Raw genomic sequence first — 26,622 nt, forward strand, 5'->3', positions numbered from 1 at the left:
TTTATTTCTGGGTTCTCTATTCTGTTCCATTGGTTTATGTGCCTATTTTTTTATACCAGTACCATGCTGTTTTGGTGACTATGGCCTTATAGTATAGTTTGAAGTCAGGTAATGTGATGCCTTCTGATTTGTTCTCTTTGCTTAGTCTTGCTTTGGCTATGTGGACTCTTTTTTGGTTCCATATGAATTTTAAGATTGTTTTTTCTAGTTCAGTGAAGAATGATGTTGGTATTTTGATGGGAAATGCATTGAATTTGTAGATTGCTTCTGTCAGTATGGTCATTGTTATAAATTTGATTCTGCCCATCCATGAGCATGGAATATGTTTCCATTTGTTCATGTCAGCTGTAATTTCTTTCAGCAGTGTTTTGTAGTTTTCTTTGTAGAGGTTTTTTACAACCTTGGTTAGGTATATTCTGAAGTTTTTTTTTTTTTTTTCAACTATTGTGAAAGTGGTTGAGTTCTTGATTTGATTCCCAGCTTGGATGCTTTTGGGGTATAGCAGAGCTACTGATTTGTGTACATTAATTTTGTATCCTAAAACTTTGCTGAATTCATTTACCTGTTCTAGAAGTTTTTTGGGTGAGTTTTAGAATTTTCTAGGTTTACAAATATTTCATCAGCAAATAGTGACAGTTTGACTTCCTCTTTACCTGTTTGGATGCCCTTTATTTCTTTCTCTTGTCTAATTGCTCTGGCTAGGACTTCCAGTACTATTTTCAATAGACGTGGAGAAACTAGGCATCCTTGTCTTGTTCCAGTTCTTGGGGGGAATGCTTTCAACTTTTCCCCATTAAGTATAATGTTGGCTGTGGGTTTGTCCTAGATGTTTTTTCTTACCTTAAGCCATGCTCCTTCTATGCCAATTTTGCTGAGGGTTTCAAACATAAAGATCCCTTGATGTGGTGTTCTCTGACTTTCCCTAGGAAAGGGGCTTCCTGAGAGCCAAACCATAGTTATTGTTTTTGCTCTTCCAGGTTAGCCACCCAGTAGAGCTACTGAGTTCCATCCTGGTACTGGGGAATGTCTATAGAGACTCCTGTGATGTGATCCATCTTCAGATCTTGCAGCCATGACTACTAGCACCTGCTCCAGGTGAGGTAGCAGGGGAGAAAAGGGAGGGTCCTTGATTGTGTTTTTGTTTAGTGTGCTGGCTTTTTGTTTGTTGGCCTGTAGCCAGGAGGTGGTGCTTCCAAGAGCTCATCAGTTGTGGTCCTATAGGGACACACCTGCAACCATCTAATTTTCAACAAAGTCAACAAAACAAGCAATGGAGAAAGGACTCTCTACTCAATAAATGGTGCTGGAATCACCAGCTAGCCCTATGCAGAAGATTGAAACTGGATCCCTTTCTTATACCATATACAAAAATCAACTTGAGTTGGATTAAAGACTTGAATGTAAAAGCTAAAACTGTAAAAACCCTTGAGGAAAACTTAGGATATACTATTCCAGACACATAGGCATTGATGAATATGCCCAACATCACTAATCATTAAAGAAATGCAAGTCAAAACCATGGAGAGATACCATCTCACACTTGTCAGAATAGCTATTATTAAAAAAGTCAAAAAAATAACATGCTGGTGAGGTTGTGAAGGGAATATTTATACACTACTGTTAGGAATGTAAATGAGTTGAACCACTGTTTTAAGAAGTTAAAACAGGACAACGATTTGACCCAGCAATCCCATTCCTGGGTATATACCCAAAGGAATATAAATTGTTCTACCATGAAGACACATGCATGTGTACGTTCATCTTAGCACCATTCACAATAGCAAAGACATTCAATCAACCTAAATGTCCATCAATGGTAGACTAGATAAAGAAAATGTGGTACATATATGCCACAGAATACTACATAGCCACAAAAAACAACAAGATCATGTCCTTTGCAGCAATATGTATGGAGATGGAGGCCATTATCCTCTGCTAATTAACACATGAACAGAAAACTATATACCACATCTTATCACTTATAAGTGAGAACTAAACATTTAGTATACTTGAACAGAAAGATGGGAACAATAGACACTAGGGCCTACTGAAGGGTGGGGCATGAGAATAGGATGAGGATTGAAAAACTCTCTATTGAGTACTATGCTTATTACCTGGGTGACAAAATAATCTCTACACCAAGCTCCTGCAACATGCAATATACCAATACATGTACTCCCTGAACCTAAAAAAAAATTTTGAAAGGGAAAAAAAAAAAAACACAGAGAAAGACAAAAACCTTCAACAAGCTGAGGTGCTAAGACCAAATAAGTGAACCATCTTCGGGGATCTGTGACACAGCTGAGTATCTCTGCTGATTAGCTGAGTTCCTCAAGGTCATGCGGACATAGGACAGGAATAAGACAAGAAGCAGAACATGCTAGGGAACCTAAAGATAGGTCTGGCCCCCTGTAGTGGTTAAAAGTAAATTTGTGTGGGTACCTTTTAAAAATTATCTCGGAGCTTTTATTAAAATGTTAAAGTCATAGTGTGGATTCCTATATGCTGTGGAGAATAAGAGCCTCCCCCATGCTTAGGGAGAGGAAGACAAGTAGAGCATGAAGTTATTTCCCCAAGACCAGAGTTGGGTAATTAGTCTATCACCATTGGAGAAAGTTTATCCTTATCACAATAGCCAATGCCCAGAGAAGCTTCCAGAACCAGTCAGAAAATACTATGCTGGCACCACTTCCCTAGACAGGAGAGTATGCGCCATCATAATTTGGATTAGATCAGATTTGGGGAGCAGGACAGTATCTTGGAACCTGGAGCCACCCTGCTTGGATTGAAGTCCCACTCTTTTGCTTACTAATTATGTGATCTTATATGAAATACTTAACCTCTCTGTGCCTCAGTTTCTTTATTTCAAAATAAGGATAATAATTGGACCTATAACATAAAAATGATTTGAAGACTAAGTGAATTCAGTATACACAGGGAATGGAAAAGTACCTGGTACATAATAATTTCTCTGTAAGTATTAGCTATTACTACCAATGTTAGTATTAGTATTGCTGTTGATGTAGTTATGTAACTCTTAGCATAGAAGAGGCAGAGTAAATGTATGCATTGGAGGAGACTAGTAGAGTCCATAAACAGGTTCCATATCTTCAGAATATAAATAAGAATTTGCAAATTTTGCATTTAATCTATTGTCAATATAAAAACATAAATATACCTATAGATTGTTGATGAAAATAGATATGCTTTTTCTAACTGAAACTCTCAATGCTTATTTACAAATGGAGTTAATAGATGAGATAAAATACTATATTCACAATAGATATAGATGAGATGAGATAAAACGATTAGATAAAAGATAAATATATGAGATAAAAGACTATATTTACAATAAATAGATGAGATAAGAGACAATATCCACAAGAAATTATATGTAACAGAAAGTCATCAACATGACTTGATTTATTTGTCTTAACTAACAGCTGATACTGTGAATATGATTTATCATTAAAAGCAAACATTAATTGCCATGGGAATAATATATTAATTGATGCTATTTTGTTATTTTTAATAGACTAAGAGCCATATATTAGGCAGAGATCAAGTTCAAACATTTAATAAAAATGTCAATGGACATATTTAAATTCCCAACAAATTGCAACACAAATCCTGGAAGCCACCAGTGAGGCACCACCTGGCTAGCAAATTTGTCATTCACCTAGTTCTCTTTCTTCTTCAGCTCAGCAGCCCTGCCCACAAACTCATCCTAAGAATGTCAACTATTATAATTAAGTGCCTGCTGCAAATGAAATCACAGTTGGAAGAAAATTTAAACATTCATAATGAGTATGACTTCGTATAATAAACTTTATAGGAGGCCATTGGTTTAAACTGAACTTCTGCACTAGGTCTAACAGACCAAACCAAAATAGAGTTACTCATCCTGAAATTCCATACCACCAAGCCAAAACTAACATCTTTATCTGACCTTCCAAGAACAGAAGAGAGAGAAATAATAGTCAAATTCCAAACAGGACAGTTTTAGCTGGCATGATAAGGAAGTCCCCTCTGCTTTAATCTTTACAAGAAAAGTAACTTTGAAATGACCAATCTGCTTTTTGCTCTTTATTTCTGCTTTCCTCAGCCCTTTTCTGTCTATAAAACACCCTTCTCTGCTCGCCTCATGGAAACAGTCATTCTGTTTTATAGAATAAGATATTGCCTGATATTAGAATCACAAATAAAAGCCAATTAAGATCTTTAAAGTAAATTTGTTGTAATTGTGTCTTTTGACAGCCTTTATGTGAACGGTAAAGATAGGATGTAGAGAAGGAAGATAAGAATCCCTTTTCTCCTTGTTCAGAATGCCATTTTCTTTCTGACCTTGCACAGACCCTCTTTTCACTGAGTCCCATAATTGTTGGACTGTCACACCTCAGCTAACTCACTGCTGCCGACCTTCGCTCCTCCACACACCTAGTTACGCTCCCAAGGCCAGATCCTCCTACTAATTCCAAGCTTGCTAGTCAATCTTGGCAGCTTACTATCCTCAGCTAACTTTCACTTTCCCAGTTGACTTCTTTATAAACTATCTCAGCACTAAATGTAGGTCTCTACATAACCCCTGTCTCTCAACCCCAGAGAAAATTCATACTTCAATTACATCAGTCTTATTCTCTATTTAATATAAATTATGGCATTATTCATGGGCATTCTAGGCCATGTTCTAGAAACTGAGAAAACAAGGTTAAATACAAGGTGGCCATTCTCTTGAGGATCTCACAATTTAGCCAGAAACGTAATGCATGCAATCACTAAAAAGTTATACTTACAATAAAAGACAAGTACACAAAGTACCTGTGATCATATATATATATATATACACACACTCACACACACACATATATGTGTGTATATATATGTAAAGGGGAGTTCATTAGGCATTAACTCACATGATCACAAGGTCGCACAATAGGCTGTCTGCAGGCTGAAGATCAAGAAAACCCAGTCTGAGTTCCAAAACTGAAGAATCTGGAGTCATGTTCGAGGGCAGGAAGCATCCAGCACAAGGGAAAGATGTAGGCTGGGAGGCTAGGCCGACCTCTCTTTTCATATTTTTGGCCTCCTTATATTCTAGCCGTGCTGGCAGCTGATTAGATTGTGCCCACCAAGATTAAGGGTACATCTGCCTTTCCCAGCCCACTGATTCAAATGATAATCTCCTTTGACAACACCCTCACAGCCACACCCAGGATTAATACTTTGTATCCTTCAGTCCAATCGAGTTGGCACTCAGTATTAACCATCACAAGTCCACCCCTTGTTAATTTGAACCCACTAACATCTAACATCTCCTGAGATCATACATAATCTTCAAATAAAGACAATAATAAGGTCATAATTATACCTAACATAGAATAGCTATCCTTCACACAACCAGAAATGCATCAATCACCAACCCAAATACTATAACATGAAGTTAGCAATACTTAAATACTGATGTGAAGTCAATAAATCTTATGTCACATGATAAAGGAGAAAGGCAATAAAATGAAGATATTTTCTTAGTACAAGTGTATAAACATTTTTTTAACAAAAGAAGGAGGAAATACTCATGAAAATTACAGTCCTTGTTTCTACAGTTGGTCATGTGGTCATAGTTGGTATTGATAACTACCTTCTTCTACTACTCCTTCTGTATTTCCTTTGCCTTCAGCAAACACCTCAGCAGTTTGTGGTTTTTTGTTTTTGTTTTTCCTGGTGGAGTGACCAAAAACATCATTCCTGAAGGATCTGGGCCATCTGTAGTCCTGTCTGGACTGAGCTGTAGTAGTTTCCCACTGACCTTAATCACAGGGCATGATAATACTAAGAGATGCCCTAATGGGTCTCCCGTATTCCCTGCATACTCTTCCTTACTGTGGAGTAGGAGACTGATTTCATCTTGATAGTCTGGGTCAGTCACCCCAGCCAACACTGTAACTTCCTTAGCCTGTTGCCTTAAAGGTAGGAGGAGCCCAAAGTGTCCAGGTGGCAAACAATCTTCACTTCCAGTTTAATGGAATCATTGTTGTGTCTCCTGGGGCAGCATTCCTCCCTCTTGAACTAAGATCTCTAGGCCAGCAGAACGTAATGTCATGGGAACAGGAAGCAAAAATTTTGCTAGTGAATCACTAGGGATAATGGTGCCACTTCCATTTCTACCCCTTGATTCCTGGACCTGTGAATCCTGGTAATGGAAGAAACAGTGCCATACATTGGATTCTGATTCAGAACATACACGGCCTTCTGGAGAACTTCGCCCTAGCCCTGCAAAGTATTGTCACATAGCTAGAGTTGTAGTTGTGACTTCAAAAGACCATTCCAACATTCTATCAATCCAGCTGCTTCATGATGCTGGGGAACATGGTAAGACGAGTGAATTCCATGAGCATCAGCCCACTTCCACACTTCTTTAGCCATAAAGTGAATGCCTTAGACAGAGGCAGTGCTATGTGGAATAGCATGATTGTGGATAAGGCATTCCGTGAGTCCATGGATGGTAGTCTTGGCAGAAGAATTGCATGCAGGATAGGCAAACCCATATCCTGAGTTAAGTGTCTATTCCAGTGAGAACAAACCTCTGCCCTTTCCATGATGGAACAGCTCCAATATAATCAAACTGCCACAAGGTAGCTGGCTGATCACCCCAAAGAATGGTGCCATATCGAGGGCTCAGGGTTGGTCTCTGCTGCTGGCAAATTGGGCACTCAGCAGCAGCCGTAGCCAGGTCAGCCTTGGTGAGTGGAAGTCCACGTTGCTGAGCCCATGCGTAACCTCCATCCCTGCCACCATGGACACTGTGTTCATGGGCCCATTGAGCGATGACAGGGGTGGCTGGGGAAAGAGGCTGAGTGGTGTCCACAGAACAGGTCATTCTATCCACTTGATTGTTAAAATCCTCCTCTGCTGAGGTCACCCATTGGTGAACACTCACATGAGATACAAATATCTTTATGGTTTTTGACCACTCAGGAGGTCCATCCACATACCTCTTCCCTACATTTCTTTGTCACCAGTTTTCCAATCATGCTTCTTCCATGTCCCTAACCATCCAAACAAACCATTGGCTACAGCCCATAAATCAGTATATAATCACCCATCTGGCCATTTCTCCTTCCATGCAAAGTGCACAACCAGGTACACTGCTCGATGTTCTGCCCACTGGGAAGATTTCCCTTCACCACTTTCCTTCAGGGATGTCCTAGAAAGGGGCTGTAGTGCTGCAGCTGTCCACTTGCAGGTGATGGATCTTGTAGAACCATCTGTGAACCAGACCCTAGTCTTCTCTTTTTCTGTCAACTGATCACAGGAAACTCCCCATGAGGCCACTGGTGTAGGCTGGAGGAGAGAGGAGGGTGGCAGGAGTAGAGACCATGGGAATTTGAGCCACTTCCTCATATAACTTACTTGTGCCTTGAGGACCTGCTAGAACCTGATTATGTATATACCACTTCCATTTGATAATGGAATGCTGCTGTGCATGACCAACTTTGTGGCTAGATGGGTCAGAAAGCACCCAGATCATGATAGGCAGTCCAGGTCACATGGTGACTTGATGACCCATAGTCAAACGTTTAGTTTCTATCAAAGCCCAGTAACAGGCCAAGAGTTGTCTCTTAAAAGGAAAGCAGTTATCTGCAGAAGATGGCAGGGCCTTGCTCCAAAATCCTAGAGCCGTCTGCTGTGATTCACCTACAGGGCCTGCCAAAGGCACCAAAGAGTATCCCTATCTGCCACTGACACCTCAAGCACCATAGAATCTGCTAGGTCATATGGCCCAAGTGGCAGAGTGGGTTGCACAGCAGTCTGGACCTGTTGCAGAGCTTTCTCCTATTCTGGACCCCACTCAGAACTGGCAGCCTTTTGGGTGACTCAGTAAATGGGCTGGAGTAATGCCCAAATGAGGAATGTGTTGCCTCCAAAATCCAAATAGGCCCACTAGGCATTATGCCTCTTTCTTGGCTGTAGGAAGGGCCAAATGCAGCAACTTATCATAACTTCACCTGGGAAAGAATATCTTGACAGGCCCCACACCACTGGATGCCTAGAAATTTTACTAAGGTAGAAGGTCCTTGAATTTTATTCGGATTTATTTTCCATCTTCTAGTACACAAATGTCTCACCCAATAAGTCCAGTGTGTTTGCGACTTCTTGCTCACTGGATCCAATTAGCATAATGTCATCAATGTGATGAGCCAGTGTGCTATCTTATGGAAGTGAAAAGTGATCAGCATCTCTCCAAATAAGATTATAATACAAATCCAGATAGTTGATAAACTCCTGGGGTAGGACAATAAAGGTATATTGCCAGCCTTGCCAGCTGAAAGCAAATTGCTTCTGGGGGGCCTTATGGACAGGAATGGAGAAAAAGGCATTTGCCAAGTCAGTGGCTGCATACCAGGTACCAGGAGATGTGTTAATTTGCTCAAGCAATGAAACCATAACTTCTATGGTGGCTGCAATTGCAGTCACCACTTGGTTAAGCTTATGATAATCCATTGTCATTCTCCAAGATTCATCTGTCTTCTGCATGGACCAAATGGGAGAGTTGAACGGACATCTGGTGTGAATCACCACCCCTGCATCTTTCAAGTCCTTGAGGGTGGAACTAATCTCTGCAATCCCTCCAGCAATGCAGTACTGTTTTTGATTTACTATTTTTCTAAGTAGAGGTAGCTCTAATGGCTTCCATTTGGCCTTTTCCACCATAGTAGCCCTCACCCTACCAGTCAGGGAGACAGCTTGGGGGTTTGACAGGTGCTAATTATGTCTATGCCAATTATGCATTCTGGCACTGGGGAAATGACCACAGGATGAGTCCAGGAACCCACTGGACCCACTGTAAGTCGCACCTGAGCTATAACTCCAACCTGACCTCCATAAGCACCTACTTTAACTGGAGGACCACAATGATGGTTTTGGGTCCCATAGAATCAATGTCAGCTCAGAGTCACTGCCCAGTAGTGCCCGAAATGTCTGATCATTTTCCTTTTCCCAATGCACAGCTACCCTGGTAAAAGGCTGGAGGTCTCCTTTTGGAAGGATGGGAGAAAAATTCACTGCATAAATTGTCAGAAATGTAGCAGGGTCCTTCCTCAAGGGGACCTGAACTCCCATTCATTCAAGGGGCTCTGGGTCTCTAAACTGGCTCATGTCTGGAAATTGATTGAGGGGCTATGATACTCTGTTTTTATAATTCAAATTAGCCTTCTGTTCATTTGACCTAGGTTTTCTGCTTGTATAAATTAAGTAGGAATGCAGTAGGCTTCCTATAATTTTCACTTCTAGGAACACTGTGATTAATTAGCTAATGCCAGAGCTCTACACAAGTCAGACTATTCTGATTGCCATTTTGCCTCTGCTGTCCATTACAGTAGCTATGCCCATCTTGCCTTTGCCAGTTAAGTGCCGCCACTTGACCCCTGCCATCTTGAGATCCAATTATTCCCATTGTATTTAAATTTTGTAGTTGAGTGACTGCAGTTCCCAGTGTTACATCTGGAATACAGAGAAGAGCAATTACAGGGCTCTTTAAAGATGCAGAGGCTGCCCTCACAAATCTATTTCACAAGGCATTAGTCAAGGGTATATCTTCTGGACCCTCCCAGCTGGGATGAGTAGGTCTAAAGTGATTAATCCACTCCACCATCCCAATCTCCCTAAGCCTTTTGATCCCTTTTTCTACATTAAACCAAGAAAGATATGGCATTTCCAGCTCACTCACAGTGGACCATCATTTAATCAATATTTCAGCTAACCAAGCAAATAAACTATTAGAATCTTTTTTAACTCCCCAAGCTGCAAGATTAAATGCAGAGTCCCTACTTAGTGGGCCCAAATCAATAAATTCAGCCTGATCCAACTCTATGTTCATTCTGCCATTATCCCAAACCCTTAATATCCATTCCCATGCTTGTTCTCCAGATTTCTGTTTATATGATTTAGAAAACTCAAGCAGTTCTTTTTGAGTGTAGAACACCTCCTTACTTATGGGTCCCACTCTCAACCCCTCTTCTAGGGGCCTGCCAGGACTTTAGTCTAGTTATAGGTATAAAAGCAAACAGGGGTGTTGGAGGTAGCTCCTGATGAGAATCAACATTATCTTGCCTGACAAGTGCCTCAGCGGAGGCCATCATTGTTGCCTCAGGCAAAACAGGATTTATCTCCTTAGACAAAGGTGGACAGGCTGATAGTAGCATGGGTCAGGGTGGGGATCTTGCCACTACTGGGCATGGGGAAGCTGTTTCTTCTAGCAAAAAAGGTTCATCAGAGTTTACAAACTCAGTGTTTCCAGCTTCATCGGTGTCCTCCCACACATCCCCATTCCAAGTTGCAGGGTCCCATTCTTTTCCAATCAATACCCTCACTTTAACAGTAGACATCTGGTGAGGCTGTTCATGACCTTTCGTTACAGGTCAGCTACTCGCATGATAAGAGCTTGTGCCTGTTTTTCCACAATTTCACTTTTTCTCTACAGGAATAAGACTCTCACTCAGGGCAATCTTACCAGATTTGAAGCTTAGTATCTGCTTCAGCAGCCAGGTGATAGAATTCCTGTGTTCATCATTTTCTTTCATTACTTCATTCATTGAACTTAGGAGCAACCAACCAGCTTCATTATGTTGCATATGTTCTCCACATATGGTCAAAGGTATTAGGTATGGAGTCACTAAATTCCTTGCCTCTCACGAGTGATGAATCACGAGTGTCAAATGCATTTATTTTGCGTAACTCTCTAAACAGTTTACACCAAGGACTATCAGTGTTCTCCATACTATTAGAAGTAGAGCCCTTAGCATTTTTAGGTCTAAGTATATTAAACAGCCAACTCCAGAAACAACAAAACCAATGAAAGAACTCCATCCTTAGAATTCTGTTCCTCTAGAACAACTTCTGGTACCAAAATCTGTATTATTCAAGGTTCTCTAAAGGGACAGAATTATAGACCATCTGCTGCTTGCTTATATTCTAGCTGTGCCAGCAGCTGATTATTTTGTGCCCACCCAGATTTAGTGTGGGTCTGCCTTTCCCAGCCCACTGACTCAAGTGTTAATCTCATTTGGCAACACCCTCATATACACACCCAGGATCAATAATTTGTATCCTTCAATCCAATCAAGTTGACACTCAGTATTAACCATCACACTGCTGTTGTTCAGAACTATCTCCCACTCACTTTCTAAGCCATTCCAAACTTTCATCGTCCTCTGCCAGCAGTCTATCCAATATTTAAATCTCTCTTTTTCAGAAGGCTGACTTGCCACCCACTTTATCAAGAAAATTGAAAGTATCAACATGAGCTACCTCAAACTAGAAGTAGCTGCCTTTTATTCCTGTCATGTCTTTTCAGGACAGCTTCCATGTGTGGTTGTAATCACATTTCCTTATGCCTCCTTTGGGTCTTTGCTCCATTTCTCTTATGTTTTCAAATTTTTTTATTATTTCTTCTCCCTCACATCTCTCTCAGCATATCAGGTAATTTCTTGATCCAAAGTACACCCTTGGTGGACATTCCTTCTTTTCTCAGCGAACCTTCTTGAAAAAGCACTATCCTTAATTTTTCATGTCTTTCTTCCATTCACTTTTCCAGCCACTGTACTCTACCTTCAGCTCTGTCCATTCCTCTGAAACAACTGTGGCCAAAGTCATGAGAGCCTAAACCAACAATTTAACCCATTGTTTAATCCATTGGACACTTCTTGCAGTTCCCATGTTACTAAATCTCTGCTGCTTTTGATAAAGTTCTGATTTTTTTCTTCTTGAAAATTCTTCATTTTTGTGGATTCCGTGGCATACACTCTTTCACAATATTTCACCTAACCAATAGTACCATTTTAGCCTATTTCACATGGTTCCCATTGTCTTTCAGGCTCTTTATTACACTCAGCAGATTCCATTAGTTTGTATTTTAGTCTAATTTATCAAACTGCCTACTGTAGGACTTTGGAATAGACCTGTGAGCAACACAAAGTTTCTACACCCATATAGTTTGCATCCCTGTTTGTGTCTGTGTGGAATAAGTTAAATCAGATACAGGGAAACAGCCTATAATAAAATAAACAATGACAAACCAAAAATTTTGACATGTGCTATTTAGATAATTTAATTAAGCTGATGTGATAGTGATTGCGAGTCAGAGGATGTTTCATTGAGACTGTATTTATATTGATCTCTGAATGACAGAAGAAGGCAGCCACAGACTGTTGCTAGTAAGAATAGTTCAAGGGGAAAATTGCCCATCTGATGTTGTGAATGAATTTACCGTGTTTGAAGAGGACAGAGATGTCTATTGGGTTGAAAGTCTAGTGAGTGATGAAAAAAAATATAGTTAGGGAACGTGCCAAATCAGTAGAGCTTTAAAGTCAATATGAGAAAGCTTTAATGAGAAACAGGAAAGTAATATGATATAATTCATATCTTTGTATTGATAATATTTGTACAAATTAATGTGGCACATATAATATTTCATTAAAGGAATATAATGTATAATGATCAAGTCAGAGTATTTGGAGTAATAATCACCTCAAGTATTTCTATGTGTGGGGAACATTTCAAGTCCTCTTTTCTAGCTATTTTGAATTATACAATACATTGTTGTTAACTATAATCACCCTACTCTTCTATCAAACATTGCAACCTATTCCTTCTATCTGATTGTATGTTTCAGGAGAATTGGTGTTAGTCTTCTTTGAATGTTTGGTAGAATTTGGCAGTAAAGCCATTCAGTCCTGGACTTTTCCTGGTGGGGAGATTTTTTTTCATTACAGCTTCAACTTAATTACACATTATTGATCTGTACAGATTTTTTATTCCTTTCTGATTCAATCTTGATAGGTTGAAATTAATCCATTAATTAATGCAGAAATTAATCCATTTCCTTTAGGGTTTACAATTGATTAGCATACAGTTTTCCATAACAGACTCTTCTGAAGTATCAGCTACAATGTCTCCTTTTACATTTGTAATTTTGTTTAGTTGTGTTTTGTTTTCTTTTTTCTTGGTTAATCTAGCTAATATTTTATTGATTCTTTTGTCTTGTTGATTCTTTGTATTGTGTTTTTTTAGTCTCTATTTAGTTTTGCTCTGTTCTTTATTACTTCTTTACATTTACTAAATTTGGGCTTGTTATTTCTTGCTTTTCTAGTTTCTTGAGGTGCATCACTAGAGTGTTTATTTGAATCTTTCTACTTTTCTGATTTAGCATTTATTTCTATAAACTTTCCCCTTAGCACTGCTTTTGCTGCACCCCACAGGTTTTGGAATGTTGTGTTTCAATCCTAATTTGTTTCAGCAATTTGTTTCTTGTCTCTTTATTTTCTTTCTTGATTCATTGGTTATTCTGGAGTATGTTAATTTTCACATATTTGTAAAGTTTCCAAAGTTTTACCTTATTATTTATTTCTAGTTTTATTACATTGTGATCCAAGAAGATGCCTAATATGATTTTGATTTTGTTTTAATTTGCTGAGTCTTGTTTTGTGTCCTAACATATGATCTCTCCTAGAGAATATTCTGTGTGCTGAGAAGAATGTGTATTTTGTAGCTGTTATGTAAAATATTCTGTACATTTCTGTTCCATTTGCTCTAAAGTTCAGTTTAAATCCAGTGTTTTCGTTTGTTTGTCAATTTTCCATCTGGACGATACATCTAATTTGAGAGTGGAGTGTTGAAGTTTCCAACTACTATGTATTCTAGTCTATCTTTTCCTTTAGCTCTACTAATATTTGCTTTATATATCTGGATGCTCCGGTGTGGGATGCATATGTGTTTAGAATTGTTATATCCTTGATCCCTTTGTCACTATATAATGACCTTCTTCGTCTCTTGCTCCTCGGGAGGGTGGTCTTGCTTTCAGTGGCAGCAGCTGCGTGTAGGCAGTTGGGAAGCACATACTTCCCTTGTGCTTCTCTGTGGTGGTAGCTGCAGCTGCTTTGTGCGGGAAAGTGTGTCCTCAGGGCACATGAAAATTCACAGTGGCTCTGATGCTGGAGCAGTAAGGACTTTGCCAATGGCTCTTACTTCAGGCTAGCTGGCATCAGCATGTCATGGTGGCGGCTACAGGTGAGAAATGTAAATGTGCTCTAGAGATGTAGTGATGCAAGGGCTTTTGGTCCCCAAGGCAGAATATAGTCTAGTCTCTCAAAATGTTGTCATGCTGCAGCTTCTTAGGGTTCAGAGTAGGTATGGGGCCCAGTGTGAGTTCTCTCCCTGGAGCAATACCTTCATGTAGTTTTCAGGAAGCTCTCTATTTAAGCCTCAGGCCCACTAATGTCTAGGTGTTTTCCTGTGGCCTGGATATAGGAGTTTATAGTTAGAATGTGGACTACTGGGGGTCAATCACTTACAATTTCCCCCAATTCAGGAGCCACTCCAGGCTCTTAGAGAATCCCAGCTGAGCAGACTACCTTGCTTCCCTCTCCCTTCTTGCTTTAAATGTTTCCTTTCACTCCTCCATTGAATGCGGTGTTTTTCCTTAAATGATCTGATGAAATTGTGATTACCCACTATTTTGCTGCTTTTTTGTGATGGAGGTGAGTTACAAGATGCCTTTAGTTATCTATTTTGAAGCCCTCCAAAAATGTATATCTTTATAAGGTCAGGCTGCTTTGGGAAAGTATATTGAAATTAGCAACGAGTGGCAACAAAAAGACTACTTAGATGATTGTTGCACTGAACTGTTTGGGATATAGCAATGGCCTCCTGGGCAATTGAGAATAGTAGGAGTAAAGATGAAAGCAGAGGATATTTTGGGGTACATTTGGAGGTGGTGGCAGAAGTTGCCAGTAAATTGAGAATAAAGAATGATGGAAAAGAAATAATGAATGATTGGCTAGATCATTGTGCACTGGTGATGTAAATCATTATGATGAGGAATGGGTGAGTGGTAGTTACAGTAGTGAAACAGGTATGAAGAGTTCTGTTTTGGCAATGTTTGAGGTTATTATTGACATACTTATAGAGGTGTCAGCTAGGAATTTGATAAAGATCAGTTTGGAATTCAAAGGAAGGCATAACGCAGATGATATAAACTTAGACGTTACTACATATAACTTGTACTTAAAGCTGTGGGACAAGATAACGTCTACAAGGGAGATTGTATTGATACAAAGGGAGGGGAGCATGGAGCACTGATTCATTTCAAGATTTAATCATCAAAAGAGGATATGAGGCTAGCAAATGAGACCTAGAAGAGAAATAACCAGAGTACTATATTATAGAATTCAAGAGAAAAATGTATTTTAAGAAGGAGGAAATAAATAATACTGCTTTGGGCCAAATAAGAAAAGACTAATGATGAGAACATTCTATTTTGACAACTTGAAAGTCAATTGTGACCTACACAGGAACAATCGCAGTGAAATGGTGAGGGCAAGGACCCTATTACAGAAGGGGAGAGGACAAGGTGATGGGGAAATAGAATCAGCAACTCGAGATGACACCTTCAAAAAGTTGTATGATCACAGGTAGGAAAGAAATGAAGTGACAACTGGAAGAAGAAGTAAGGTCATGAGAGGATTTGTGCTTTTGTTTGTTGTATTCACTTGATTTTGTTATTAAGCTAGATAAAACAACTTTATATTTGTTGTAGATTTCTGTAAGGCACCACAATCAACTTCATCCTTCAACACTGGACTATGGAAATTTTCTACACTCCTTTGTCTCACTCACTCATATCCCATCAATTATGATAAACTGTCAGATTTACCCTCTATTTCCTGAATCCAGCTCCTTTTCCCCATCTCTACTGCCATTGTTTTAGTTCAGACACTTAGCTAGATTACGTTATACTCTCCCTTTCTCAATTTCTCATTCTTTAAATACTTTCTCTAAATTGCAACCAGAGTTGAGCAGGTTAACTACAACTATTTTAACACCTTCCATGCTGATAACAGAATTAAGTTGAAGCATTGTAACTTCGGATAAGAAGCCCAATCAACTTTCTTTTCTTTTTTTTTTTTTTAATTATACTTTAAGTTCTAGGGTACATGTGCACAACATGCCGGTTTGTTACATATGTACACATGTGCCATGTTGGTGTGCTGCACCCATTAACTCGTCATTTACATTAGCTATATCTCCTAATGCTATCCCTCCCACTTCCCCCACCCCACAACAGGCCCTGGTGTGTGATGTTCCCCTTCCTGTGTCCAAGTGTTCTCATTGTTCAATTCCCACCTATGAGTGAGAACATGCAGTGTTTGGTTTTTTGTCCTTCTGATAGTTTGCTGAGAATGACGGTTTCCAGCTTCATCTATGTCCCTATAAAGGACATGAACTCATCCTTTTTTATGGCTGCATAGTATTCCATGGTGTATATGTGCCACATTTTCTTAATCCAGTCTATCATTGATGGACATTTGGGTTGGTTCCAAGTCTTTGCTATTGTGAATAGTGCTGCAATACACATATGTGTGCATGTGTCTTCATAGCAGCATGATTTATAATCCTTTGGGTATATACCCAGTAATGGGATGGCTGGGACAAATGGTATTTCTAGTTCTAGATCCTTGAGGAATCGCCATACTGCCTTCCACAATGGTTGAACTAGTTTACAGTCCCACCAACAGTGTAAAAGTGTTCCTGTTTCTCCACATCCTCTCCAGCACCTGTTGTTTCCTGACTTTTTAATGATCGCCATTCTAACTGGTGTTAGATGGTATGTCATTGTGGTTTTGATTTGCATTTCACTGATGGCCAGTGATGATGAGCATTTTTTCATGTGTCTGTTGGCTGCATAAATGTTTTCTTTTGAGAAATGTCTATTCATATCCTTCCCCCACTTGTTGATGGGGTTGCTTGTTTTTTTCTTGTAAATTTGTTTGAGTTCTTTGTAGATTCTGGATATTAGCCCTTTATCGGATGAGCAGATTGCAAAAATTTTCTCCCATTCTGTAGGTTGCCTGTTCACTCTGATGGTACTTTCTTTTGCTGTGCAGAAGCTCTTTAGTTTAATTAGATCCCATTTGTTGATTTTGGCTTTTGTTGCCATTGCTTTTGGTGTTTTAGACATGAAGTCCTTGCCCATGCCTATGTCCTGAATGGTATTGCCTAGGTTTTCTTCTAGGGTTTTTATGGTTTTAGGTCTAACTTTTAAGTCTTTAATCCATCTTGAATTAATTTTTGTATAAGCTGTAAGGAAGGGATCCAGTTTCAGCTTTCTACATATGGCTAGCCAATTTTCCCAGCACCATTTATTAAATAGGGAAGTCTTTCCCCATTGCTTGTTTTTGTCAGGTTTGTCAAAGATCAGGTGTTTGTAAATGTGTGGTATTATTTCTGAGGCCTCTGTTCTGTTCCATTGTTCTGTATTTCTGTTTTGGTACCAGGACCATGCTGTTTTGGTTACTGTAGCGTTGTAGCATAGTTTGAAGTCAGGTAGCGTGATATCTCCAGGATTGTTCTTTTGGCTTAGGATTGACTTGGCAATGCGGGCTCTTTTTTGTTTCCATATGAACTTTAAAGTAGTTTTTTTTCCAATTTTCGGAAGAAAGTCATTGGTAGCTTGATGGGGATGGCATTGAATCTATAAATTACCTTGGGCAGTATGGCCATTTTCACCATATTGATTCTTCTTATCCATGAGCATGGAATGTTCTTCCATTTGTTTGTATCCTCTTTTATTTCATTGAGCAGTCATTTGTAGTTCTCCTTGAAGAGGTCCTTCACATCCCTTGTAAGTTGGATTCCTAGGTATTTTATTCTCTTTGAAGCAATTGTGAATGGGAGTTCACTCATGATTTGGTTCTCTGTTATTGGTGTGTAAGAATGCTTGTGATTTTTGCACACTGATTTTGTATCCCGAGACTTTGCTGAAGTTGTTTATCAGCTTAAGGAGATTTTGGGCTGAGACAATGGGGTTTTCTAGATATACAATCACGTCATCTGCAAACAGGGACAATTTGACTTCCTGTGTTCCTAATTGAATACCCTTCATTTCTTTCGCCTTCCTGATTGCCCTGGCCAGAACTTCCAACACTATGTTGAATAGGAGTGGTGAGAGAGGACATCCCTGTCTTGTGCCAGTTTTCAAAGGGAATGCTTCCAGTTTTTGCCCATTCAGTATGATATTAGCTGTGGGTTTGTCATAAATAGCTTTTATTATTTTGAGATACGTCCCATCAATACCTAATTTATTGAGAGTTTTTAGCATGAAGAGCTGTTGAATTTTGTCAAAGGCCTTTTCTGCATCTATTGAGATAATCATGTGGTTTTGTCTTTGGTTCTGTTTATATGCTGGATTACGTTCAACTTTCTTAATTTCCTCTCATGTTTTGCTTTATTATTTATCAGTGCTGTGGCAAATTAAACTACTAAACTTGTTTTTTGCTGAAATCCCATATTGTTTTGGGCTAAAGTATTTCTCTGATTGACTTTCCTATCCTTTACTAGATATTTTTTATTCCTTAAGGTTTAGATCAATATTCCACTTCTTTAAAAAACATTCCTTGAAACTCTAAATTGCTTAAGCACACCATTCTTATATTAGCTTAAATGTGTGTGTATGTGTGCACATGTGTTTTTTATTGAATCTAAATTATCTGCTTAAGCGTTTGTCTTCATCACTAGCATAAGGCTCTTTAGGACAGGATCCTTGTATAATCAATTTTTGTTATTTTGAGCCATAGCTGATATCTTAGCAGGACTAAGTGGTTGATAATCTGAACATTAGCCCACTATGTAGATATGATGTTCAGTGATACTTATGTATTACAAATATCCTTTCCCAAATGGAACTTACATGTTTACATGCAACTTATCATAGCAAGAAAACATAGATTTTGGACATGAAAAAATTAGCCTTAAAATTCCAGAACTATTATTTATTGGTTGTCCTGTAAGTCACCCAAGTTCTTTGAGCCAGAGTGTCTTTAATCATAAAATGATGATACTAATACTTATTCTATGATGTTGCTAATATTTAGGAATATTTTGAGAAATAAAATAAACAATATTTTAAATATATATACCTAAGATAATATCTGGAAAATAATAAATGGCCTTCAAATGGTAATTCCCTTTCCTTTTGAAAATTTCAGATTTATTCATTTCCTGAATATGTATCAAGCACTAACTGTAATACAGACACCATTCTAGACATTAAAATCCAACAATAAGCAAGACAAACATGACTCTTACTCTCACAGAATTTCTATACTCTGATTGGGAAAACCAGGGCTCAACAAACAATTACACAATTTGTTATTTAATTGCAATTATGAAAAGTGCAACCAAGAAGCATTGTGTGTTATGAAAGTATTAAGCTTGCCACTCATAACTTTCTTTTCATTATTTTGCTCAGATGTTCTTTGATTAGTGGTCATTTAGGCATTTGCCCAACGTTATTATTTTGGAGACAACCTATCAGTGAGCTCTCTCTCTCTCTCTCTCTCTCTCTCTCTCTCTCTCTATATATATATATATATATATATATGATCATTAAAGCAAAGCACTGGGTAATGTTGTAGTGGATGCTAAGAAGTATACCATAGTCTTTGGTGTCAAGGAGCTCAGTAATAGAAACAAGCACTAAAAATGAGTAATTTTTTTAAAAGCACCATAGAAATTTAAAGGCAGAAATTCCCAGATGTGGAATACTTCAGTTTAAAGATGGCATCTGAATTGGACTTTTCAGAATCAATAGCAGTTTGAAAGCAAATTCTTTTTCACAATACCTATCCACTATCACCAAAAAATTGTTCATTTGTAATCTGAAAACCTTACTCTTAGCCAACACCCACTACATTAATATAGGAATGTATTACTTGTCACCTAGATTATTGAAAAAGATTTCTATTTGACTTTCACCTCACTATGCTTTGAATGTGTCCTCCAAAGTTCATGTGTTGAAAACTTAATTCCCAGTGAAGCAAGGTTGAGAAGTGGTGCTTAATGGGAGGTGTTTATGTCATGGGAGCAACAGTCTCATGAATTGATTAATGCCATTACCATGGGACTGTGTTTGTTATTTTGGGACTGGTTTCTTATTAAAAGACTAAGTTCAGACCCCACTTTCTCTCTCTGTCTCTCTCTGTCTCTCTCTCTCGCCCTCTTTTTGCCCTTCTGCCATGTGATGACTCTGCCTGTTATAAGGCAGCAAAAAGGCCCTCCCCATATTACTGGCCCCTCAATCTTGGATTTCTCAGCCTCCAGAACGTGCGCCAGTAAATTTCTGTTCATTATACATTTTCCATTCTGTAGTATTCTGTTGTACTAAGAATAACTATGGACTGAGATTCTCCTCCAATTACTTTCTTCTTTGTTTTCAGGGTGAAGTTAGCTAAAACACAAATCCGATTCTGTCACATCCTTGCACTTAATCTTTCATTTGCTTTTTGGGTTTTCAAATAAAGCTCAGCATTCCCAACATGGAATATGAACTCTTGCATGATTCAAGTGCCATAGTCTGCATACTGGAACTTAGCCATAGCAAACAATGTGCAAATCCCAAATAGCCCATACACTCTCAGATCATTGTGCTTTTCCCCATCCTGCTTCTTCATTTTATTTTTCTAACGCCTACTATGCTTATAGGTTCAGATAATATACCATCTTTCACAGGTAGCTTTTGCTGACTCTCCTCCAATTTCTGATAATGAGTGTTCATCTGTTCCCATAAAACTGTCTACCTTAACAGCTATCATCTATACTCACTTATCTGCTTATCATTTTCCCCCATTAGTCTGTGACCTTTTGCAGGGCAAGAGTTATGTTTCTTGGTATTGTTTTTCCAACACCTAAGACTTCCCGTCATCACACAAAAAAAGCAACAACAAAAATCATTTTACATATTTAATCTCAAAACCTCAAGAATAAACACATGAATTGTTGAAGTAATGGAGATATTTCAAGTCATAATATAAAATTTTACAAGATGGCTAAAGAAAATGAAGGCACAACCTGTTAGAGGAGAGAACACAATCTAATTTGGAAAAAAGAAATTTTCGGAAGGGCAACAATAAATAACAAGCCTATAAAACATAGGGAGCAGGGCTATGAGATAGAGCTTTCTGTGATGGTGGATTTTTTCTATTTTGCACTGTCCAGTACAGTAGCCACTAGCTGCCTGGATGATTGGGGACATGAAATGTGGCTAGTGTGGTGGAAACACTAAATTTTAGCCCATTTTAATTAATTTAATTTTAAATTTAAATCATTGCCATGGGGTCTACTGTATTGGATAGCACAAAACGGACAGGTCTATAGAAGGCCCTGGATATCAGGTTAATGAGACAATATTTTGTAGGTAATTAAAACAAATTGAAGTATTCTAAGAAGAAAATTAACTTAATTCAAAGAGTGTCTTAATGAGTTATGAAAACTAAATACTAATAAGCAATGATATAAAGGTATGAAAATTACAAACTGTTATAATTTGCATGCTGGTTTATTTCTTCTAGAAATTTTGTTTTGTTTCTCACTTTAACCATCTAATGAGGTGAAGATAATGGACAATAATTTTTTATCTAACTTACTAATGTGAAATGATAATGTAATATTTTGGAAATATCTTCAATAGAATTGGAGTAAAAAGCCTGAACATCAATTATTTTGTTATTATCTAATTAATTGTATAATAAAGTGTACAATTTATAATTTGAAAACATTTTGACTTTTCATTGCATACATTTCATATACTAGATAAATAATTGTGTTCAACTGTTGGATATGTATCCAGAAAATTTCTGATATTATACAGCTACCAGGCAATGGCTTAGATATAAGGTAAACACAAATCCCACTTTCCTAGGACAACCCAGTTATGCCTAATATACATCAGTTGACAAACATATTAAAACATTTTATCCTCCCATTTCTGCATCATAAATGTTATCTTTGGATAATAAATTATATGGTCACAATTTGTGCATCTCTATCACAAACTACAATATACATTTCTTTTAGAAAATATGCACATTATGCTACTTTATAGTAAAAACATCCAATAAACTTCTATTTGTTTATTTCTCTGCCGCCAAAAGCATAAGCAACAAGGTAAGGAAAGTTTAGAGACTCAGATCAAGACATTCTGAACACATCTGAAATACTTATGAACATTTAACGTGAATTTACCTTCATAAATTTGCTGACAGTATTGTATCTTCCTTACATGGTTTGTCAAGATTAAATCAAAATGATTACATAAAACATTTAACATAGTACTTAGCAGAGCCAAACTAATTAGCAAATGTTAGACAATCTAATTCTTACTGTTATTTTGTGTCATTATTATTAATGTTGGTTTTTGTTCTACTACCTCTCCTGGCAGGTTCAAACATCCTGGGGTAAGGTTTGGCTAGCAAGAGCATGGTGGCTCTTAGGTATATCAGGTGGCTCCTCTCCTAGGCAGGACAGGTGGGAGGGACACCAAGAGATTTTCTGTCTTCTCCTTGGCCATAGTTTCTTACATGTGTCAGAACAGGTTAGGTATAAAGCTACACTTACCTGACCAGTCTCAGCAGGAGAAGCAATATATCTGCATTATCTCATGATCTCTCACATAGAAATCCTTGAATGTAATATATTTATACAACATTCCCCCAAATGTTTTCTTTTTACATACCCAAAGCAGGTTTGCTCAAATGTATTTCAAATTATAGTTGCATTAGAATATAAAAAGAAGCTAGAGGTCTTACGTCATCTAATTTAGATAATATTCCTGCCTCCCAAATTGTGATAAAGACAATGTTTAGAAAACACTTTTTTATAGTGTTTAAAAATAGTTACTATTATTATTTTCAAATTGATTTAGAGATTATGATAGACGAACAATACTGTGAAGATATTAATAAAGATGTGAGGAAAAGGTCAACAGAAAGGCATATAAATTAATTCAAAACAATGACCATTTTAGGTTTTAAGAGAATTAATAAATTTGGGGGCAAAAGACTGAAAATCTAATAAGTTTACCTGGAAATTAAATGCATTTTGGCACAGTCTTCTTAAATTATCCAAAAAAAAATTATAAGTGTTCTGATCCTTGGGGAAAAAACTTCAAATATTCTAAATATGTTTGGGTAGAGTTTCAAGCAATGGATGGAAGAAAGGCAGAACTGTATGAATATACTCTAAGAAAGTAAAGTTGAGATTTGTGTATCTTATGTGCTTATGTGAACCAACTTGGCCACAAGCAGGAGACCAGGAGCAAGGACATGAGGAGACAATAGTTACAGGGCTTCTTATCACAATTAGGGCTCAAATAAAAAAATTATAGGCTTCTGAAAAAGAGAATGCCAAGATCTAAATGATAGTTCAGGTGTCTGGGTTTTTTTTTTTACTACTTATATGGAGAATGATTTGCACATGGTGAAAGGCTACAGGAAGGCAATAATTAAATTGTATTCAGATGAAAAAAGCAGAAGTCAGAACCCAAAGAAGCCAAGGTGCAATATTAATGTTTTAGCCTTCTTATGTGTTCTTTAAAAGAGAAGTGAAAGACATGTTATTTTCAGATAACGAAATTGGGACATGTTAACAGCTTCAATAGGAGTAGAAAAACAATACAGTGATTCCTATACAATTAGCACATAAACCAACATATTGTAATTAGATTCAGCATATAAATTAATCAACAAAACATTAATTAAAATAATTAAGCAAAGCAAATGGAAGAGCGCGTTGACAAAATCCACTGCTCTTTTTTTCTTTTTGGTCCTCCATGCCACTTGATACAAAGCCAGTCAGTTTTTACACTGAATCTCTCTATACCTTCCTTCAAACTTGGGAAGATATCAAGACTTTTGTTCAGTGTAAGATGGTGATTTTCATTAGACTTAGAGAAAATATGTTCCAAATTTAACAGCAACATCGTTTCTAATGGCCCAGGCTCACCTACCCCAGGTCGAGAGAACAGGCCATGTGAGAAAATATTGCTGATATTTTTATCAAGAAGCAAGTAGGAGATTAGGATACTGAGGGAAAGAGATGGAGTGCTGCAAAGACAAAGAGAAAGGGAGAATTTCCCAGGAGAGTAGAACCAACACATTTACAAATAAAAACAATCCAGACGTATAGGAAGAGACTTTATTCAGGAGAAAAACTATTGCAATAGAGAGAAAAAGCCATTCTCAGATATCTGCAAGCATCTCAAAATCAACAGAAAAAAAAATTCCTCTTTTATAGAGTAAGAAAGGCAAGCAAAGATATGCTGAATCATATAAAGGGAAGTTAGAGAAGCCAATGGAAATGAACCATTGGATCTGACAGGAAAGTGTCTTGCCAGTTCCCAGTTGAAGCAGAAAAGGGGGGCTCATTCCACTTTTTAGTGCTTGCTTAGGCTTAAAGGCAAGCAGGGTTCAGAAGCTTTTAAGAAAGAGAGTAGCCTTACTCTAGTTTAGTCAAAACAAAGCCATGGTAAGACATTGGCAACAGTAAACATTTGGTCAGAATTATGCCAGCAGACTAAGATACATAATTGAGTGGGAGGCTGTATGCAAAATTTATAGGGAAGATAGGATTAAGTAAACTAGTGCAGAAATTATGAATTGTTACAGAACTAGAAATATGAGATGATGGAGGCCATGTGTCAGTAATAATTGGCACCAGGACCTAAAATTGTCACCCAGTCCCTCAATCATAATGTGCCAAATCCCCTGCATAGTTAGGGAGAGTTACCCAGCAAATCAAAGAGGAGCTAGGTGCAATAGAAGAAGCTTCTTATTGGAGCAGAATGAGAAATAGAACAAAATCCTCAGAAAATAAAAACAAACAAACAAATGTATATTCATAATATCGTTCTATTATTTGAAATTTTTATTCAATATCACAATGTAATAAACAGTTTTAATTGAAAATTAGGCTATCTGAAATATCATCTGACAAAAGCTTTTCTAAAAATTGAATTATGATTGTTGTGACTTATTCGAGAGGCCTGATTATCAATTTATGTTTACAAAGATGGAGATATATTCACAATGATAGTAATGATGGCTAATATTTACTGGGTATTCTCTACGTGCCCAACACTGAGCTTATGCGTTTCATACATTGTAACATGTAATCCGCTGAATAACCTGATGAATATGTATTAGTAGTAGTATTACCATTTTGCAGGTAATGATAAACTTTACTGAAATCCAATGAGGTAAGTAAATGAGGCTCTGAACATTTACATAATTACTGAATGTCACATAGCTCCTAAGTGCAGCACCAGAACCTGAATCCAGATGTTTCGGGTTCTAGAAGCCATGCTCTTTCCCCCTAATCTACACTGTATAAAAGATGCAGTTACACTCCAGTGAATTTGTTTGCATTAGCTGATGTTCTGCCTTTTTCTGACCATGGGTATTTCTTCACATATACATACATTTGGACTGAACATGTATATTTAATACATTCAGTTCATTCCCACTGGACTCTTTGGGGGTCTGTCCGCCTTTTTGGTGGGAATCATCCTATCTTATAATCCCTCAACTCTGATATAATCTTTGTACTATGTTGTCTCTCACTTGTTAATGGGTTCTTGAAGTTTGCAATTGGTAAGTCTTCTTTGTCAACTTAGTATCACAAAATTTGAGAGCAATTGCAATAGTATCCTTGACATTTCCAAAGGATTCAACTATAACATTAATAGGTAATATTTATATTATGAAATTGCACAAGTTTTACAAGCCAGTCAACATGTATAAGAGAAACAATGTCTAATGCATAGAATTCTTCACTATGCATGCTAATATAATGACTGTCATGCTTCAGTTCTACTAAATTACTTAAAGATCTGGGAACTGGGGAAAGAAAGGGGAAAAGTAACTAACATCTACTGAGACGAAACTATGTGCCAGCCATTTCAGATATATGATTTAATTTAATTTTATCACATATCATATAATTTAAGCATTACAGCTCCTCTTCCTAATAAGGAAACCAAAATTCAGGGGTTAAACAACTTTCTCAAGTAAATACGTTCGTAAAACTGAGACTTTAAGTTAAATTTCTATGACTCTAAGCCTATAACTTTCTCATCTCACAGCCGCTACATTCAGTCATCCAGTGACCTCAGCAACTTTTCAGTTGAAGATTCTGCATCACCAGATAACAGAACAAACTCAAGAGCTTATCAACATGTATTTCTAAATTAATTTATTTAAGCTGCAAGGTTTTATTCTACCTATTTTTCATGAGCATTCAGCTATTATTAAGCTAAGCATTAAAGAAACTTGCAAAAATGTAAAACAATGCCACCCTTCTCACTAGCTTTTGTTTGTTTTGGAAAATCTAGTTGTTATTCACACAATATGCTATATATGTTAACACATAATAGATTTATTGTTATTTTTAATGAATTAATATTTCAATTACCAGTTTTAATTTCTAATGGGGAAAATATCTATAAATATGACCCACGTAAACAAAAACTCTGGTATTCTTTGTAATTTAGAGTATAAAGGAATCCTGATACTAAAAACTTTAGAGTGTTTTTCTAAGCCAGTATTAGTGTTTTTTTAAATATCTACATTTTCTAAAACCTACAACCCCACTTAGAGTAATCAACCAAATTCGAGGGGCTAAGTCTTTCAGTAATTATTAGTTTTATATTTATCTTGTATTTACAACTTCTATGGTCTGCTTTGTTCCCAGTAAGCACAAAACACCTGCTTAACAAATAAATTGCATTATTTAATA

The 26,622-nt window shown here is 37.5% G+C and overlaps 1 long non-coding RNA gene across 1 annotated transcript; it reads left to right on the forward strand.

The window, feature by feature from the left end:
* The first annotated feature begins 975 nt into the window (after positions 1-975).
* On the forward strand, positions 976-26,622 carry LOC124904232 (uncharacterized). The gene is made up of 2 exons (XR_007066259.1): positions 976-1,095; positions 25,970-26,622. It is a non-coding gene; the product is annotated as an uncharacterized LOC124904232 (long non-coding RNA).

Source organism: Homo sapiens, chromosome 1 (assembly GCF_000001405.40).
Source record: "Homo sapiens chromosome 1, GRCh38.p14 Primary Assembly".
NCBI classification, from domain to species: Eukaryota; Metazoa; Chordata; class Mammalia; order Primates; family Hominidae; genus Homo; species Homo sapiens.